Source organism: Homo sapiens, chromosome 8 (assembly GCF_000001405.40).
Source record: "Homo sapiens chromosome 8, GRCh38.p14 Primary Assembly".
Lineage (NCBI taxonomy): Eukaryota > Metazoa > Chordata > Mammalia > Primates > Hominidae > Homo > Homo sapiens.
In genome coordinates this window covers 21,213,059-21,233,452 of record NC_000008.11, presented here as the reverse complement: position 1 = coordinate 21,233,452, position 20,394 = coordinate 21,213,059, and positions in this window count along the sequence as shown.

Here is a 20,394-nt window from a genome sequence, read left to right as displayed (position 1 = left end):
AACATGAGATTTGGGTGGGAACACATCCAAACCATATCAATGACCATGTGATCTGTGACCCACAGAGGAGATTGAGCAGGAGAACACAAGGTAAGGGCTACTGCTGAGTGGGGTATCTGTTTAGAGGATCTGGGGGACTCCCCCTGCATCTGGGCATAAAAGTTGGTGTCTGTCCAGCTCATTTCACTCACTTCAAGGCATCTTGTAGATGGAGAACTGAGCTAGGGTTGAGGGTGGTGTCCATATACCACCCTTCTACATATCACTCAATACCTTTGTGGCTCATCAAGAATAGGGTTGACAGACTGAGCAAACAAAAATCTAGGATGCTCAGTAAAATTTGAATTTCAGATAGGTCATGAATAACTGTTATAAGTATGTCCCAAACATTGTATGGGACATACTTATACTAAACAATTGTTTGTTATTTAGACTCAGTTACCTGGGCTTCTCTGCCTGGTCCAATGTCCACATCTCCCAGATGCGGAGGCTGCGGTAAATCTGCACTGGGCCAACTTGCCCCTTAAGTCAGAGACCTGGGTTCTAAAATCTCTGTCTTCCTTGCTCCTTCTTCTTCTTTGGGAGAAAAGAACAGAATCACTAAATGAGATTTTTTTTGCTGTGAATTGCCAAGAGAAGAGCCTCTCCAGATTCAATAAGGCAATTATTATATCCTGAGTAAAGAACAATTGATTATTCCAAACAAATGTACCAGACTGTGCTTTTACAGAAATCTGTATCTATAACCTGTTGTAGTTGTTAAGTCAGAAGTAAATACATTCTTAATAACCAACTGGTATTTATTTAATGTACAATAACTTGCCTGCTAAGCTTAAATGAAATGCACAGTTAATTAAAACTATTTCTGTACTAAGTCCTCCAGGGAAAATATTTTACACACACTCTGAGTTGGGATTTTTTTTCACCTTCACTTCTCAACCCAGCCCCTGTTGGTAGCTTTTAATTTGATATGTTTAGAGGTCTGCAGATTTTTTTTTGGGCAATTCTCATCCTCCTCAGGGATATAGAAACTCTAAACTCTACTTATTTATCCAGAGTTCAGGAATCTTCAGGGAGACCTCAAGGTGAGACTGCATGGGTTGGTGCCCCACACCTTGCTTCCACTTGGAGGTGGCGGTTGTATCTAAATATACCTACTCACTCAAGGTTAAACTGGGCCTTTCACTTTGCCTCTCTGAACTTGAGTTTTCCAATCTGTGAAACAAATATAACCTCTCAGGTGTTTGACAGGTCAGCAAATAATCAGAACAGAATTTTACTTTTTTTGTTTGTTTGTTTGTTTTTGTTGAGATGGAGTCTTGCTCTTTTTGCCCAGGCTGGAGTACAGTCGCGTGATCTCAGCTCACTGCAACGTCTGCCTCCCAGGTTCAGGTGATTGTCCTGCCTTAGCCTCCCAAGTAGCTGGAATTACATGCTCCCACCACCACACCTGGCTAATTTTTGTATTTTTAGGAGACACAGGGTTTCATCATGTTGGCCAGGCTGGTAACCTTGACTTCTTAAAATGGTCTTGACTTGTGCCTGTCTCTCCTGCTGTGTGAATCCAGATTTGGGGCTGTTAGATGGCTTTGAGATGTTTGCTTATTTATCCACTCATTCATCTTCTCATTATTCATCAAGTATCAATGCCCAAGTGTCTGCTGGACCCGAAGCCTCATGAGCGCTGTGATTGCAGAGAGAAAGTCCCACCCCTACCTGTGTCTCTTACAGAAGTGTAAATTTGAATTTATGCAACTCCAGGAGTCATTTCACTCCCCTGAGTTTGTTTCCTTTTCTGCAAAGTGAGGAGAGTGCCTTCCCTACAAATCACTGAATGGCTGTGAAGTTCAAATGAGATAATGTATGCACAAACGCTTTCAAAAGTCTAAAGAATTAACATATAAATGTGTATTTCCCCCAGTAGTGGTAGTCCTTGAGAGTCTCATGTGGGATCTGCTGATCTGCGAAGTGCTGAGGACCAAAGCATGACAACCTATGAATGCCAGGCAAGCTTGGTGTGCCAGGGGACGGGCAGCTCAGCCTCCCACAATGACTCCTGGGGGTGAGAGCCAGCCAAATAATTAATAAAGCCTGATGTTCATGTGGGATGTCGAGAATAGAAAGTACTTTCAAAGCCGTGATCTCATTTGATTTTTATAGCATCCCTATGAGGATGGCAGAACAGACATCCTCCTTGTCAAGACAGGAGTAACCAAGCCTCAAAGATGGGAGATGACTGGTCCAAGGTCACCCTATGCATAGTTGTCAAAAACAGGACTAGCACACTAGTCATGCCTTTACATCACAGTTGCTCTCCAGAGAACAAGTCTCTTCTCCAGCGGGCTGAGGCCCTGAGAGTCCCAGCCTTGAGGAGTGTGTGCAGTGGAGGTGGGGGACCCTGTGAATGGATTAGAGAAAGACTTGTTCCATGGTGCAGAGTTTAGCAAGTGAGTTTGGACTGGATTTCAGGACCCCTCACTCCTCACTGGATTCTGTTACAGAGGATACAACCGTAACAGGAGTATCTCGTGGTCCTAGATGGGTGGGGCATTGACTGGGCTGGATTGCCCCTGAAGGAGGTCACTGGGGCTGCTGACCTTCTAGGGACCACCCCAGACTTCCTTGATGCTGTGATTATCTCCAACCTGCTCTCAGAGGGTATAATAAAAAGTTAATATCTGATTTCAGTGGGAAGCCGTTAGCCGACTATAATTACTAGGGTGTGTAATATGAAAGGCTGATGTAATTATGATTCTGAGGTAATGGGGGGAGCACACTCAGCAAGGTTTTGTGCTAATGTTGTCATTTATTACTTTGTCTCTCAAATTCTCTGCATTAATCAGATAGACTTATCTCTTCTGGTCTCTGAGATGAGTCTCCTTTCATATCCTTTCAGAAAACAGTAGGTGTTTTCGAGGTGGGGCTCAGATCCCGGAGGGGACTTCTAGGGCTGCCCAGCCTGTGCTGGGAACCACTGAGTTTTGCTTTTCCCATTCTAAGCCAGAAAAGAACAGGGGTGTGGGAGTGAGAAGCCCACTCTCCAATACTAGCTCTGTCCCTGAAATGATCCTGGGGCCTCTGGCTCCTTGGCTGTCAGATTCCCCATCTTGGAGGTGAGGAGGTGGAAGGGATGATTTCCAAGGACATTACAACTGCATCTTGTGTTTCTTGGGACCCTTTTGCTATATAGGGGATGCCAGGCCCAGGCTTCAGGGCAATCAAAGGGACAGACAAAGGGGGTCGGGGGAGCTTGGCTCCCTGGACAGGGAGGAGCTGTTATCTGTGCTTTCCATTCCGGGATCCACAAGCTACATGTGGCTTTTAAAGTTTTTCATTATTTAAAATGAAATGAAATGAAAATTAAATGAAGACTTCCGTTGCTCCATCTCCCTAGACACACACTTTCAGTGCCCAGTAGCTACATGGGTTTGAGCCTCCCATATTGGAGAGTGCAGATTCAGAGCAGTTCCATTCTTGCAGAATGTTCCCTCGGCTGATGCTGAGGATGGCATTCGGGCTCTGGATATGGGGTGTTGGAGGGAAGGCAGGTTTGGGGTCTGGTCAGGCTTACAATCCTGGATATGTCATTTAAAGATAGGGACTTTGGGCAAATGACTTAACTCTTCTGAACCTCTGTGCAATGGAAATCATAATACCATTTTGTAGAGTATTCTGAGTATTAAATGATTTGAGCATCATTATGTTGAATATTAAATATGCAAAGGAGTGTCTTGTGGGACTGCTGCATTATCACCCTTTAGAAGTTCGTGACCCAGAAAGATGTCCTGTTGGGTCATCTTGGGAAGAGGTGACCTTGGGAAGACGTGGCTCATCTGCCCTGATGTTTTTGCAACTCGCTAAAGTGTTTAGGTATGTTATTTTATTATTATTATTTTAAAACAGAGCTACTGCCTGCCTATTTCTTCCTTCCCTCCCCTCATCTTCTCTCTCCTCCTCCCTCACCTCCACCTGTCATCTTTCTAGGGCTGCCACTAAAAATACAGGATATAAGTTAAATCAGAATTCCAGACAAACAAAAAATCTAGTGTTTTTTTTTTTTTTTTTAAGGATAAGTATATCCCATGCATTATTTAGGACATACTTAGACTAAAACATGACTTGTTGCTTATCTGATACTCTAATTTGACTGGGTGTCTTGTGTCTTATCTGGCAACCCTACCCTCCTTACTTGCCATTGTTAGGCTTGAAGATCAGATGCTAGGCCAGAGGGTATGTGCTTGAGGTCTGGGGGATAGGTGTTGGGGATCCTCTCACATTTCTATATGTGTTTCTTGGTGCGTGTCTGCTCATGAGAGAAGGTGCAGGTGAGTAGACGGAATGCAGAGGTCCATATAGATGTGGACAAATCTAAGTCTGGATTAGTAGTATGGACAGGGGCCACAATGCCATCCTTGTGGGTTCCTTTCTGTGTTCCTGCCAGTGAATCTGTGTGTCTGTGTCCCAGGCCCAATCCTCTTGAGGCCCCAAAAAGGAACAGAGGAAATGTCTTGCTTGCTTTTGGTGATTGATTGATAGTTTGACTGCATTGCTTTTTTCCCTAGGGGTGGACATGACTTGCAAGGCTTCAGCCTCAGTGGGGCATAGTCAGGGTGTGGGGAGGGCCTGTGGTTCAGGAACATCGTGGGACCCTGCTTCCCTCTCCCACTCCACCCCAGCCCTCCTGCAGCCACTCCATGCAAGTCACAGCCCCCCTCCCACTGTGATCCACTCTGGCCTCAGATTCTATCTCAGTTCCATCTCCTGTCTTGGTGTGGGATCCAGCCTTGGGCTATGTGCCCTGTATGGGATGGGGCTGGAACAGGGAAAGGCAAGGACATCAGTGAGCCTCTTCATGCAGACCTCACACTTGCCCCTCTTTACTTTTCTCTCCCTTCCCCAGTTCCCTTCTCTTGTCTCCATCCCTAGTGGAAGTGGGCAAGGAGCTTGAACAATACAACCTGAACTCAAATACACAGATAGGTCACACATGTACTGCTTTTGGGTTCTTTTGACCATTTGTGTCTTTGAATAGACTGAGAATTATTCTTTGCTTCTCCTCCCATCATCCCTTTTACTCCGTTACAGGAATCCTCTGCTCCCAGGTCATCTACTCATTGCCTCCAGATCCTCCTGCCCATCTAAGCCTGCATTCCTCTGCAGACGCCATCCCTTCTTGCCTCTTCTCTATTTTCTGCCTCCTTTATGATTTCCTGTCTCGCAGGCACTGCTCTGGCCACACTGCCCCTAGGAAGCCTGTGCTGGCTACCCTGGCTCTGGCACACACAGGCCTGGCCCACTTCCTGGGTATATCTTCTGATAAAGTATATGTCCTGTCCTCAGCCTCCTTGTAAACCTATTAAGGAAGGAACTGGATGTAAAACCTTTAGCATTTCTGGTACCTGTCCAGAGTGTTTGGTGCACAAGTATTTGGTGGTGAAATAATAAAAATACAGGGGATCCCGTGGAGGGCATCCTAGTAGTGTTAGGGAGGTGACCTGCTCCTTCTAGCTGGGCCGTCTTGCTCAGAACACAGTGACTCATGATATTATTTATTTATGTCTGTGCTTCTAGCTGAAGAATCTCATTTTCAAATACAATATCATGCAGAGCCTTAATGTACTGAGCAGGGTACTAGCTCAACTACTAGGGAGACACGTGAGGAGGGGTCACAGCCCGTTCATCCTGACCCCTGTCCCCAAGAAGGTCCTACAGAAGAGAATTAATGCTCCCTGATGAGATGCCACGTGCCTCCCACCTCATTATGTTTGGGAATCCACTTCTTGGCGTTCCTGGAATGCTCCATGCTTGCTTGACAGTTTGGTTGAAATTTGATGTTGTCAATTTGTGTTTGGTTTTCCTTTCAGGATCTCTTCCTAAAAAAATAATGTGGTGAGGACTTAGGACAAAACACAGAGGGTTCAGTATGTTCTACCCTCCCCTCTCTCACCTTCTCGGAGCCCTGATTCATGCCTTGGCAGGGTTCAGGCAACCTTGCGGCTGCCTTGTTTCACATCAGACCTGTTCCTCACCCTGGACTGTAAACATCAAACTGATCTTTGACAGGTTGTGACACACTCTGGTGATGGAAGAATTTTTTTAGCTGTCAGGGAGGAGAGGCAGATGGGCCTGTCTCTCAGAACCTTTGCTGGGCTTTGGCACATCTGCTGGGGGCTGTGGAGACACCCTACCCCTCCAGGCAGGTGCTTCTTCTCCTCTCTGCTTTACTGATGCTGGGCTGGTCCTGGTGGGAGCTGGAGGGAACAAAGGATTTGGGGTAAAGCATCAATAACAGCTCCATTTCTGGTGTTTCTCAATATCCACTTGTCCTCTGTGAAGGTCTGAGAGTAGAACCTAGCGAGGTTGGTGATATCAGATCCATCCCTATTGGGAGGACATGGAAGGAATGCTATTCTTTGAAGTCTGTAACCTGTTGCAGCTTGCAAGGCATTTTCTGATGCATTATCCTCTGTATCTGTTAGGAGGTCTATGAGGTAGGTAGGGATGAGCCCTCATTTTGTATATGAGGAAATTGAGGTTAGTGTTGAAGTGAATTTCTAGCTAGTGGTAATTCTGGGTCTAAAGCTGAGGATACAACCATAAAGTGAGACCAATAATAATTGAAGGCAAATATTTTTTCCAGCTTTAAAAAAATCTACCAGGCATTATTGTAACTGTTTTACACATATCAGCTAATTTATTTTTCCTCCCAAAACACTATGATGCAGGTATTATGATTGTGCCCATTTTATGGAGAAAGGAGGTAGAGGTACTGAGAGGTCAGTCACTTGGCCAAGGTCATCAGCTGGGAAAAGGCTGAGCAAGAGTTTGAACTCTGACAGTCTGGCTCCAGCATTTTCTATGGCTGTTTCACCAATTCTTTGCTTGCCTACTTTGCAGAGTTGCCATGAAGTTCAGATGAGCCAATGGATGATAAAGCACTTAGAAAAGCATACAATTTTTATGCAAACGCAAGGTGATTTATGGACAGCTTGTTCCTTCACCAGATACTGGGATGACAGTCAAATTTGACTTTTTAATTAATTTGAAGGCAAGCCTGTCAGGTAGAGGCAGGGAACACCAGCCCAATCAGACTCTAAGAACATCTCTGTCTTTTCTGATGCCTTCAGATGGCTTTGGTCCTTTCTCATTAAATCCTTGATTCCTGGTCTATTGAGAATTTCAGTCAGGTATATATTTGTTAAATAGTGAGATAGCCTCATAGAATCAGACAGGAGCAGGCTTTGAGACCACTGAGCCACTCAGCCTTGTGAATATTTAACCTGGATTTTTTAAAATAACTATCTATGGACCTGTCATTTATGGCTTTTTCTAGGCCCCTGCAAAATTGATTTTATGTGTGTGATTTTTATATCACATATCATCCCCTTCTAATAAAGGCCGTCCACCCACAGACTCTCATGGAGAAGCAACATGGAACTCCAGAATCAATGCAGGTGGGCAGGAGGGGAGTCTGGGTGAGAAACGGAGAGAAGGATCTGAGAGGTCACCCCGTGCACGCCTCCAGTCCTCGCTCCCAGCACTGCCATTGGCAGGCATATCTGAAAGACTAGAGCAATGAGGAGCACCTGCCATTTGTACTACCACCCCATCGGGTCCCTATCTTTGACTCAAGTGGAGTCAGAACACATCCATAGTTGGTGTTCTACCTTTCTCAACAGTCCCGTAATTTTCTCGAGTGCACTCGGTTTTCTGCTTCTAGTTAGGTGAAAAGTCCAATCGTACACACAGTCCTTACATAGGACCACATCTTCTGGGCGGAGATCTGGTTGGCAGAATCGGAGCTTGACTTTTCTTGACCTCTTTGCTCCCATTGGCTTGTTCCTGATCTATTCTCACTGAGTTTAGGATTTCCACACCTTAGGGTCCTTTGCTTCCCAGGGCGATCCATGTTTTACCCTAAGTTTGTTGCTGTGGGATCCTGCCCTCACCTGCCTCTTGGGATTTATGACACCTGCTTGTCCAGTCTTTCCTTGCTGTCCACACATCGGGATCACTATGGTTTGCAAGAGATAGCAACAACATGAAAAAAGCAGAATGACCTTGAAAGCAATAAACTTGGTTCCACCAGTGATCAGAGAATCACTCTCATCACTCTTGAAGTCTAAAATCCGAATACTTAGAAGGAAATCTGTGAGGTTATAGCCATGTTTCACCTATTTTTTAAAAAGTTCTTTATTTTGTATTCTTTTCCTTTTCACCAATGGGAATCTAAGCTAAGGACCTCAAGGAAATACAAATCTTACAATACAACGAATAAAGTTTTTTAATTCTTATAATTAAAAAATCTTAAATTTGCAATCACAAGTGGAGCATGTTCCGTGTTTCGGAAACCATGTTGGGCATGTTACAGGTTTCATCTAGTTTAATAATGTTAAATTGATCACGTGAGGATTACACAAATGGGAAACGTCAGAGTCAGTATTCTGTACTCTGGGTAAAATGACTATTTGAGCTTGATGTAAGGTCATTGACTCCTTCTGATTACTAAACTGGGAACACAAAGACGCCACATCCCCCTGATGTTGTAATGGAGTTTAGTAGGGTGATAGCATTCCTCACACAGTGGCATAGGTGAACAATAGAGCAAGTGGCAAGAGAGGACCCTGGCCTCAGAGACTCATGGGCGTAACCCACATCCAGTCAGTCCTGAACATCAAGTGAGGTCAGCAAGCATGAATGGCCAGCTCATGATTTGCTCATTCCTGATTCAGGTACTAGAGAGATAGAAGGATCCAGAGGAAAACATAAGTCCTGGCTGTCTTCCTCAAGAACTTCAGAGATGTAGCCAACACAGTGGAAATATGCAAAAAGTATTAAGAGTGGACAGAGGATAAAGACCCAGGTAAGTGGGACAGCCAAAATGGAACATTTAGGATTCTAAATAAAACCCAATGGATCAAGCTGGAAAACATTTGTGAATGTTTCAAGCACTATTCTAAGTGCTCTGGGAATCACCAAAGCTGTAACAGGGGGCCATTCTCCTGGAAGAATCTGTACTACCATTGGAATCTGCATCTCATCAGAGAGCCAGAATTCACCTCGAGCCACCAACAGAAGTGCTGGACTGGGAGACACAGCCTAGAAGGCCAATGGGACTTTATTCTGGGGGATGATGTCCCTTTAAATTCCTCCTCCATTCTGTTTCTGTTCACAGATCCTTGGCTGGCACTGATGTGCCCTTCTTGAGCACAACTGAGAAGTCATAGTAGGAGGGGCTCTCGATGCCACCTGCCACATTTAACAGGGACGTAGGGTGGCTGATGAGTTCCACAGCTCATCCTTAATTAGGAATGCCGCTAAAAACGCCACCAGAGAGCCCTGCCCAGAGCTGCGAAGCCGTCTGTTTGCTAATGCCGAGTTGCTTGGATTGATTGATACTTGTTTTGCGATTCCTTCCGTCAGCTTTCTTGGGTCCAGCCATCTGTTTTCTACCCAACAAGAGGCACGTTGGCTCCGGTCCTTGCCTGATTTGCAGCAGTGATGACATAATGGTGGGTTGGGGGCTTAAACTTGGGGCTTGGCAGTGATTTGTTTTTGGCACAGAATCTTCGCTGAGAGAATGATGTGGCCATCTTGGGCTGGAAAGACTTCTTGGGCTTTGGGTTTTATTGTCTGAGACTCAGGAAAAGTTAGCAGAGGTAATCTGGAGCACCTGATGATTTTCCTTGACCTGCTGTCAGGAAGCTCACTGCCTTCTTTAAGTCCACTCAACAGCTCTTTCCACTCCATACCTCATCTTCCAGGACATTGTAATGTCTGCCCACTGGAACAAAGTCACACCTAACTTACACCTGTATTTGTTGTTGTTGTTTTTTTTTCTTTGTTTTGTTTTTTTGAGACAGTGTCTCACTCTGTTGCCCAGGGTGGAGTGCAGTGGCACCATCTCGGCTCACTGTGACCTCCACCTCCCAGGTTCAAGCAATTCTTCTGCCTCAGCCTCCTGAGTAGCTGGGACTGCAGGCTCCTGCCACCATGCCCTGCAAATTTTTTGTATTTTTAGTAGAGACTGGGTTTTGCCATGTTGGCCAGGGTGGTCTCAAACTCCTGACCTCAGGATATCCACCCACCTTGGCCTCCCAAAGTGCTAGGATTACAGGAGTGAGCCACCACACCTGGTCACATCTATTTTTTTTTTTTTTAATAGACGTTGTTTTACTCTCTCACCCAGGCTGGAGTGGGGCCTCCAACTGCTGGGCTCAGGAGATCCTCTCATCTGAGCCTCCCAAGTAGCTGAGACTACAGGTGTGAGCCACCACACCTGGCTAATTTTTTGTAGAGATGCAGTCTCACTGTGTCACCCAAGCTAGTCTTGAACTCCTGGCATCCAGTGATCCTCCTGCCTTGGCCTCCTGAACTGCTGGGATTACAGGTATGAGCCACTGCACCTGGACTCACCACTGCTGCTTTTGAGGCCAAGGCCTTCCTTTTCTGGCAATAATCTTATTAAAAAGTATATTGGGAGAGAAAACAAGAAAGTAAGGCATAACCTCTGCAGTCTGAGAGCTTATAGTCTTGGTTGGAAACACACACAAACATACACACACACTTAAAGATCTGAGGAAAATGAAGGAGGACTTAGAGCAAAATCAAGATTTAAATTATGTTAGTAGTAGTCCTAAGAAATGAAGAGATCAATAGAGTTTAAAATGGAGAAAAAGTCTTTAAAAGGGAGGCAACTCATGATTAGACCTTTAAGGCCTGGATAATATTTGGATAAGTGAAGCAACAAGGAATGGGTGGAGAAGAAATGTATTTAACACATAAATACAGTACATGTATGCTATGCATATGGGCTAAACTTTGCTTTTGAATAACAGCCTGGTTGTAAAAAGAAAGGCCAGAAAAATGCTAAATTGCTAAACTGTGTCTGCTAAATTACTTCCCCAGCATCAGTCTGAGGTTGTTGATGGAATCAGCAGAGGAGGAGGACTGTGAGCCCCAGAGGGAAAGTCCAGGAAGAGCTCATCCATGCTGGGCAGGGCTGGCTGGGTGAGGTGGAGTAGGAGTGGGTGGCATACAGCCACAGAGCGTGGCTGTGTTGGGGTTCTCTGGAGGGACAGAACTAATAGCATACACACACACACACACACACACACACACATATACACACACACACATATACATGTATGTATGTGTTTATAAGTTTATTAAGGAGTATTAAGTCACATGATCACAAGGTTCCCCAACAAGCTGTCTGTCTGCAAATTGAGGTGCAAGGAAGGCAATCTGAGTCCCAAAGCGGAAGAACTTGGAGTCAGATGTTCAAGGGCAGGAAGTATCCAGCACGGGAGAAAGATGTAGGCTGGGAGGCTAAACCAGTCTAGGCTTTTTGCATCCTACCGCATATTTTTATTCAGGCTGAGCTGGCAGAGTTGTCCCCACCCAGATTAAAGGTGGGTATGCCTTTCCCGATCCACTGATGCAAATGTTAATCTCCTTTGGCAACACCCTCACAGACACCCCCAGGGACAATACTTTGCATCCTTTCATCCAGTCAAGTTGACACTCAGTATTAACCATCACAGGGGCTGGGTAGGGGAGGTTCAGTGTTGTTCTCACCAGCATGCCAAGTTCTGGCTCCACTCAGTGGGCTCTGTGCACTGAGCAGGCAGAGAGGAGAGTCCAACCCATCAAATACCTGGGATGTTTGGCAATAGCATAATTCCAGTCATTGTTGTGGTTTGCAGGAAGCAACACACAACTGCAAAGCCCACAAGAATTGAGAGCACCAGGGGGAAGCCAGCAAGTTGAGGATCTGGGCACACAACTAGTTGTGGTGGGAATTAAATTCCTGACTAGGGTAAGAGAGGCAGAAGTTCAGCCACACACATTGGAAGAGTAGAGAATCATGTGCATTGAGGTATCTGTGGATTTGAGAAGCCAAGGTTCTCCCCTGGCACTTGGCATATAGGCTCATAGGTGGTAAGACAGATTCCAGAGCACTGGGATAGGGCTGAGGCCTCAGGGATGCATTCTCAGTTCAGTAAGGGACTGTTGATTTGAATTACAAGGGCTTCCTATTCCTGGCAGGCCTGAGCAGAATAGGGGCTGCAGACAGAGGGCATCGGCGGTCCTACTGAACTGTGGGGAGCTGGGACAGGTAAAGGTAAGGAGAAAGAGCAGTATCTGAACAACATTTCTAAAAGGTTTTCCAGGAAAACAAACCAAAAAAAAAAAAAAAACAAAAAAAACACCAAGGCCAAGGAAAACACCCAGTAAGGGGAGTTGAGAGCTTGTGACTCTTTGCTAGAGTGAAGTTCAGGCAGTACTGGCAGGAATGATCACTCAGAATTTAACTGTTTAGAAAAGCTGACAGCAGTAAAAAAAAGAATTGCTAAGTAAGGCACCAAGTTTGGGGTTTACAAGTCAAGAAAAAAAAAACAGTACATTTGTGTTTTTACTTCATTATCTTTACTGAAGATTTAGCATTTCACTTTTGGTTGCAAAGTGTGTAAACTACACTTTCTTTTAACATAGTAGTCATTAATTAGTAGTTAACAAATTAACTACAAATTTGTTTTAAAAATTAAAAGATATATATCTATGTTCATATACACATATGTACCTATATGCATAAATACATACATTGATTGACAGATGTAGTATAAACATACTGCTTGTGTATTTAAATCTGCAACCGAAGTATTTCCAAGTCCTCTAGTCTTGGGTCATCCTTCCCTTTTTTATGTAAATAAACTGATAGTAGGCTTCTGTCTTTTGCACTGTTGAAGTTTGTGCGTCAAACCCATCATTTCAGGCTGGAGTGAGTATATGTATGAGGGCGATGGAGATTAAGTTTCTCTGGTTCACTTTCTGCTGCAGTCTCAGTGCCTACTTGGGTCCTTCCTCATGTGGTTGTGAAACGGCATCATTGTCTGGGGTAAATACCCAAGGTTCGTCATCTCACACCAAGGAAATCAAGTAGGCATACACACAAGAGGTGGGTTTAGGAGTGGAGTTTTAATAGACAAAAGAGAAAGGAGAATAGCTCTCTCCTGTGAGTGAGAGGGGCTCCCGAATGGGAATTCTGGCCCAGAATGAGAGTAGACCAGATTTTATAGCCAGGCTTGAGGAGGCTGTGTCTGATTTACATACAGCCTGTGATTTACACACATACAGCCTGTGACCACCAAAGTAGCCCTGGAGGTACTTCAGTAATGACTTCAGGGTCATTCTTTCATTGCCTTTATGTATAGCATGTAGCTTCTCTCCACCCATATTAATCACCTTATCAAACATTCACTTGAATACACCCTTATTGTTCTCTCCTGAACATATTTTCCCGTTGTTTTTTTTTTCTTGCTCGCAGGCTGAAGTTTCCAAATCGTTAAGTTCTGCCTCCATTTGGATGACGAATTCTGTCTTTAATTCATTTTTCCTGACTTGCATCGTACTATAAGCAGTCAAGAGAAGCCATGCTGCACCCTCGATGCTTTGCTTAGATAGTTCTTCCACCAAATACCCTATTTCATTGCTTGTAAGTCCGTCCTGCTACAAAACGCTAGGACATGAACACAATTCAGTGAAATTCTTTGCCACTTTATAATAAGGGTCACCTTTCATTCGATTTCTTGGAACATGTTTCTCATTCCCATCTAAACCTCTTTATGGATGATAAAGAACAGCCTTTATCATTCATATTTGTGCTTTCTGCTCATGACCTTTTAGGTAATCTCTAAGAAGACTGAAACTTTATCTACAGCTCTCCTCTTCTGAGTCTTCACCAGAACCATCCTTAACCCATTTATGCCTGAGGTTGCAAGTTTTTGAATTTTCACAATCAGACTTTGGTGATGGCGTTGAGCAATAGGACATAAATAACTCCCACATGCTTAGCGTTCCAATAATGGAACTCCAGGCATGTTTAATTCACAGTAACACAGGCTTTTTCTAGCATGCACCTCCAAATTCTTCCAGCTTCTCCCTATTACCCAGTTCTGAAGCTGCTAACACATTTTTAGGTATTTGTTACAGTAGGACCCCACTCTTGATACTAATTTCTGTCTTGATCTGTTTAGGTTACTATAACAAAACACCCTCAAATGGGTAATTTATAAACAATAGAAATGTCCTCCTCATATTCTGGGAGGCTGGGAGGCTCAGGATCAAATTGTCAGCAGATTAGGTGTCTGGTTAGGGGTTGTTTCTCATACAAAACATCTTCCATGTGTCCTCATATGTCAGTAAGGCAAGCATCCTTCCTGAAGCCTCTTCTATGAGCACACTAATTTCACTCATGAGTTGCAGCTTTCGTAACCTATGTTGGACGTGTTTCATAACCCCAAATGTCAGTTTTTAATCAGCTCTCAAAGGTCCCACCTTTAATATTATTGCATTGGAGATTCGGTTTCAACAAAAAGTTTTTTGGGTGAAGGGAGTGGACACAAAATTTCATTCAGACCATAGCATACCCCAGATTGAATATTACACATCCCTTCCAAAAGTCCTTTGGCCTTTCCTGCCACTTTTTTCATAACCTACCTCTACTTCTTAAGGGCCTACCCTACCTCTTTCTCAGGGCATGTGCCTTACTGGCTGAGCTGTCAGCCCAAAACACAAACCTCTTCCACTTTATTAAGCAGAGCAAGTTAACTATATTTGTTTCTATCTCTTTCTGCCTAGTTTGGTCTGGGCCTTGCCATTTATTAATAAACCTGTGAATATATATATATATATATATATGTATATATTTGTAACAGTAGAGTCATCTATCCTATTTTTAATTTTAATATCACAAAGGACTAGTTTTGAAATAAACTTTGAAATAACACATGTGTTTAAGTTGTCCTGTATGAAATTCTTAGGCCAGGCTCCCTTTCCAGTCAATAATCTCTTTTCTCATAAATGGCGACAGTGAATGATGTAGTTCTCCTTGACATGGACGTTCCCCAGGGGACATACTTTGCTCTGGTTCTTTTGTCTCTTCATGTTAAATATCTGTGCTTGGCAAATGTGAAATTCAAAATTTCACTTCAATCGTATTTTTTTTAGGACACACTGTGTTCCTGGTACTATGCTAGGTTCCAGATAGGGCAGGAACTGTTATTTATTCTTTTCTATCTGAGGAGTTTGGAGTCTGGTGGGGGAGATGGACTCAAGTAGAAATATTTAATAGGATGTGGTAAATGCAAAGATCTAGAGATGCACGGGGCTCTCCAGGAGGTCAGAGGATGAGATATAGAACATCCTGGCGGTTCAAGTAAGTCTTCTAGGAGAAAACGAAGCCTGAGCTCAATCTTGGAGCGTCATTAGGATTAGCCAGGTGCAGACAGAAGAAACAACAATCTTGGCATGCAAAGGTGTATGGGAAAAAGCAGAGAGGCAGGGGAACAAAGGGCCTGCAGGGTCCATTTTGGCAAGATTACAGCACAAAGGAGAAGGCGTAGCCTTGCGGAAGACAAGACAGGAAATGAGACCTGAAACAGTCATGACAATCCTCTTTATCATGCAAAGAATCTTGAACTTTATCCTGTATACAGTGGCAGCTATTAGACAGGAGATGGACCATGGTCAGATGTGGACTCTCATGGTGTGATATTATAAAATATATGTTTGGTCTTTATCCCCATTTCCTGAACATGGCTCCTAAAATCCTTGCAGATGGGGGCACTAGGAAACTCTTTTGTTCTGATATTTGGTCTTTGATCCCCAATTCCTGACACAGCGCTCCCAAGACCTTTGTAATTTCTTAGGGGATAGGAGAGTCATTTGTTTTAATGAGGCAACTTTCAGTGGGCTCCTGGATAGCCTCAGGGTGGGCCTGGTTGCCAGGAGAGCCAACCATCTGTTGAGGCTTTCAGCTCCATCCCCTAACCTCCTGGAGACGGTAAGAGGCCGAAGGTTGAGTTGTTCACTAGTAACCAATGATGTAACCAACCATGCCTATGTAATGAAGCTAGTTTTCATAAAAACCCGAGAGACTGGGTTTGGAGAGCTTCTGAATAGGTGAACATGTGGAGGTTCCTGGAGAGGGGCATGCCCAATAACCACATGAAAGCTCCATGCATCTTCCCCTATACCTTTCCCTATGCACCACTTCCATCTAGCTGTTCACCTGTATCCTGTTCATTGCCTTTATATTAAGCCAGTATATATAAGTAAAGTGTTTCCCAGAGTTCTGTGAGCCACTCTAGCAAATTAAACCTGAGGAGGGGGTTGTGGGAACCCCCAATTTACAGCAGTTTGGTCAGAAGTACAGGCCACAACTTGTGACTTGCAATTGCATTTCAAGTGGGAGGCAGTTTTGTAGGACTGAGTCCTCCAACTGTGGGATCTGACATTTCTACCAGGTAGATTGTGTCTGAATTGAATTGAATTGTAGGACACCCAGCTGGTGTCTGCTGTGCAATTGATTGGTTGCTGGTAGGGAGAAACCCCCACAGATTTTGGGGACCAGAGGCAACTGAGTGGAGGGTAGAACATGATGGATTTTTCCTATCTCACAATACATGGCCATGACTTGGGACAAGATTGGTAGGAGGAGAATTATTTAGAAATGTAGTTGTAATTATTTAAGCAAGAAATGATACAGCTTGAAAGGAAGAGATTTGAAACATTTTGAGAGACTTAATTGGCTTTGGCAATCTGTGGGATGTTGTTGAGATGTGGACCTCAATGGTGTCCCCTCCCTAGCAGCACCACCACATCTCATGCAGCCTGAAGACATGGGACCAGCAAGCTCCACCCTCAGAATGATGAGACCACAACAAGGCACCGAGGAAACCCACTGGGAAAAATGGGAGTTGGTGGATCTGTTGAGTGCTTTAGGGTGCAAGTAAGAAGATCTTCCATCTCAAATGGACTTAAACAATAATAGACGTATCTCATGTGACATGTAACCCAGAGGTAGGGTGACCCACAGGCTGGCTAATCAGCTCAGTAATGTCAAGGGCTCAGAATTACTTTCCCATTCTGTGCTGCTGTCCTCAGCCTGAGTATTTGTTCTTGTCTAGCTGTCCTTCTCATTAGGTGTTATAGTCATACCTGAAGATGCCAAAGGACAAACAATGCCTTCTCTCCTGCTCTCTTTTGCAAAAAGGAGGAGAATTTTTGGAAAAGAATGCCTTCTCTCCTGCAGCCTCTTTTCCAAAAGGAGAGTTCCAGAACCCTCAACAAACATTCCTTCATCTCTTGCTAGCCAGAACTAACATGTCCATTGTTTGACCGTTGGCTAGCAGGAGAGGACTTCCATGATTGGGTTAGACCAATCAAGACAAACTCCCTGTACTGGAAAGGCAGCAGGATTGTTCTCCCTTGAAGTGTATGGCTGAATAAAGAAGAATAGCAAACCTGACCATAATCTGATCTCTGTTAGGAAGGACAGGGGAAGATATCTGATATGACTGGAGAGGTAAGTAGGAATTTAGTACACAAAGAAGCAGATTGCTTCGTTCCAGAAGGTGGAATCTACAAGCTTCCTAATCTCTAAGGTTTGGAGGTACAGATCCAGAGGGAGGAGATAGGAGATGGTGACAAGTATAGTTCTAGGGACTCATAACACTTCCTTCTAAGATCTGTGGGTCCTGACGAGCAAGGAGCTGGTGAGTGGGGCTTGGGAAGAAACCTCAAACTCACCAAAGGGAGAGTAAAAGGAAACGATATGCTTTTGGGAGTTTGAATTGCAGTGACAGCGAAAAAGGAAAATGCATTTCCCTGCCATGTAGAAACAGAATCCCAACAGGAAAGATGTCATTTGTGCCATTACCTCCAGGGCTTAGCAGTGCTCTATTCCTAGCTTAAAGTAGTTTGAGTAAATGTGAAATGTGGAAGAATTTATTGTGCTGTGTGGCAATCCTTTGTGTGTTACGTGATTCACTCCCAAGGTTCCACTTGGGCTTCTTGACAAATAAACTTCTTTCCCCTCTTACCCTATTTTACAGGTAAGGAAATTGAGTCTTGGGAAGAAGCGAGTGACATAGCTGAGGTCCCACAGCTAGTAAATAGAGGATTCCTGGCCTCTGTTCATAACATGACCATCGTCCAATAGCTTAGAAAAATGCTGGAAATAGTTTTATTTGCAAAGGAGAAAAAGACCAAATAAGAACAAAGCCCAGAGGTGGGCAGTGAAAGGGTGGATGATCAGTCTCTGCATCCCCTACCTACTTCCACACCACCTGGCCTTGATGCTGGGGTTGTGAGTCTTGAACCCACATCCATCAGAGAAGAAAGAACCTGCAATGCATGCGAGAGGTAGGGGGTGAATACCATACTGTTCTATTTTTCTGTCCCTTCCTAAAAAGTCTTTAAAATTTCATTTTTTTTCCTTTTTCTCCTAAGAAGAACACCACAAACACACAGCTTTGGCATGTGTCTCCCTCCAGCAGCTCCGCCCTTGTCCTCCCCCCTCCACATAGCCTCTCTCTTTATCCCTTCACACCAAACACTTTCAAAGTTAATTTCAAAAAGCTGGGAACACTTGATAGTTTTAATTAATCCTATGCCTGGGGAAATATGATTTTGTGCATCCGAGGCCTCTCAGCTTCTCTCGATAGATAGCTTGTTCTGGATAATGCTAGCGTTTCCAATTTAGCTGTGATTATGCCACCAACTCCGTTTGTTTGTTTGTTTGTTTATTACCTAAAAGAGAAGCTAATGCTGATGTGTGTCCTTAGGAAGGGATTTCTAGTTTTCCTAATAATGCGTCCTAGTTAAGCAGCGCTGTAGGTCTTTCATGGTGTTCTCACAGTAGCATCTTGGCAGGGACCCCATGAGACGGGGAGGGAAGTCACCATCCCCCACGCAGAGAGGAGGAAACTGAGATTCAGAGCGGTTTGGTGATGTGTGCGCAGTTGTTCATTTAGGGCAAGCGAGGTGCACACCAAAGCTGACTAGTTTGTAAATCAGGATTCATTGCACAACAACTCATTTTTCTTCTTGTGAGAATTCCACTGAGATACTGTGCAAACCACTGCCAGGTGGGCCAGTTGGAAAGGTAGCTTTTGGTCACTTTCAAGTGGAGGGGTATTTTGCAGTTTGGGAAATATTTATTGCTGCCACGCCGATTGAAGTTCAGGGTGCTGAGGCATGAGACCTGTATCACAATTCTTCCTCATATTACCTGGTCCTCTCCAGTCCAGCCAGCTCCATTGCACAGCAAGAGGGCACACATCATTTGACTAAAATGCAAGAGACCCTTGGAGTGCAAGAAACACCAGTAAGTAAGTGGTAGGTAAATAATTCCATATTCTTGGCTGGTTGCAATGGCTCACCCCTGTAATCCCAGCACGTTGGGAGGCTGAGGCGGGAGGATTCCTTGAGCCCAGTAGTTTGAGACCAGCCTGGGCAACAAAGGGAGACCCTATAAAAATTTTTACAAATAGCTGGGTATGGTGGTGTGTTCCTGTGGTCCTGGCTGCTTGGGAGGCGGAGGCAGGAGGATTCCTTGAGCCCAGAGTTTGAGATTGCGGTGGAGCTATGATCACACCACTGCACTCCAGCCTGGGTGACAGTGTGAGATCCTGTCTTAAAAAAAAAAAAAAAAAAAAAAAGGAATAGCTCCATATCTTGGCAAAGGTCCCAACTTAAGGTACCTTTTACAGTAGTCCTATTCAATTTTTATATGAGTTAAGTCTATTTTGGCTTAAAGTAATGGAAAATCCAACTCAACTGGTGACAAACAGTCCAGTTCTAAGTCTGGTGTAAGATGTGGTTTGAGGCGGGAGCTCAAACAATGTCTCCGTGATTCAAATTTTCATCTCTTGACTCTCCTTCCTACTGTCTCCATTCTCGGGCAAGCAAGCTCTCTTTCTGTGGTTGAAAGATGACCACAGTGGTTCCAGGTCTTGTCTTCTTTCAACTTCAAGTTTTTGAGAAAGAAGAAAAGCTTCTCCTGGTGGTCCCACAGAAACCCCTGAGGATCACTCTGATTGGCTTGGTGAAGTTATGTGTTCACTGAGGATCACTCTGATTGGCTCAATCTACAAACAGCTGATTGGTTGGGTGGAGGCCATGTGCTTCACACCTGGTGCTGGGGACAGAGTCAATCTCACCCAAAAGCTGGTGGAGTAAGAATGGGAAGAGGGCTCCCCAGGAAAAATCAGAATAAAATTATCAGCAGAGGAGGGATAGATGCTGGGTAGACAGCCCCCTGCACCCCCACAAAGTAGAGTGTGTTCTGCTTCCTTTTCTCGTTTTCACTTTGAAGTGAAAGTGACTGGAATGATTACATCCATCTCCCTTAATAACCAAGGAAGCAAAATCTTTTCTGATTGAGTCCTCAGCCCACAGCTGGGTTTTAGATACCTCATGTGAATGTCCTTCTTGGATTCCTCCCTCAGAATCTTCCTAAACTAAACTTCCACTTCTCACACCTCTTGGATTAGGGCTTCTAAATTCTTCAGGTAAGATAACACTCCTCTCGCTTCATTTGAACCC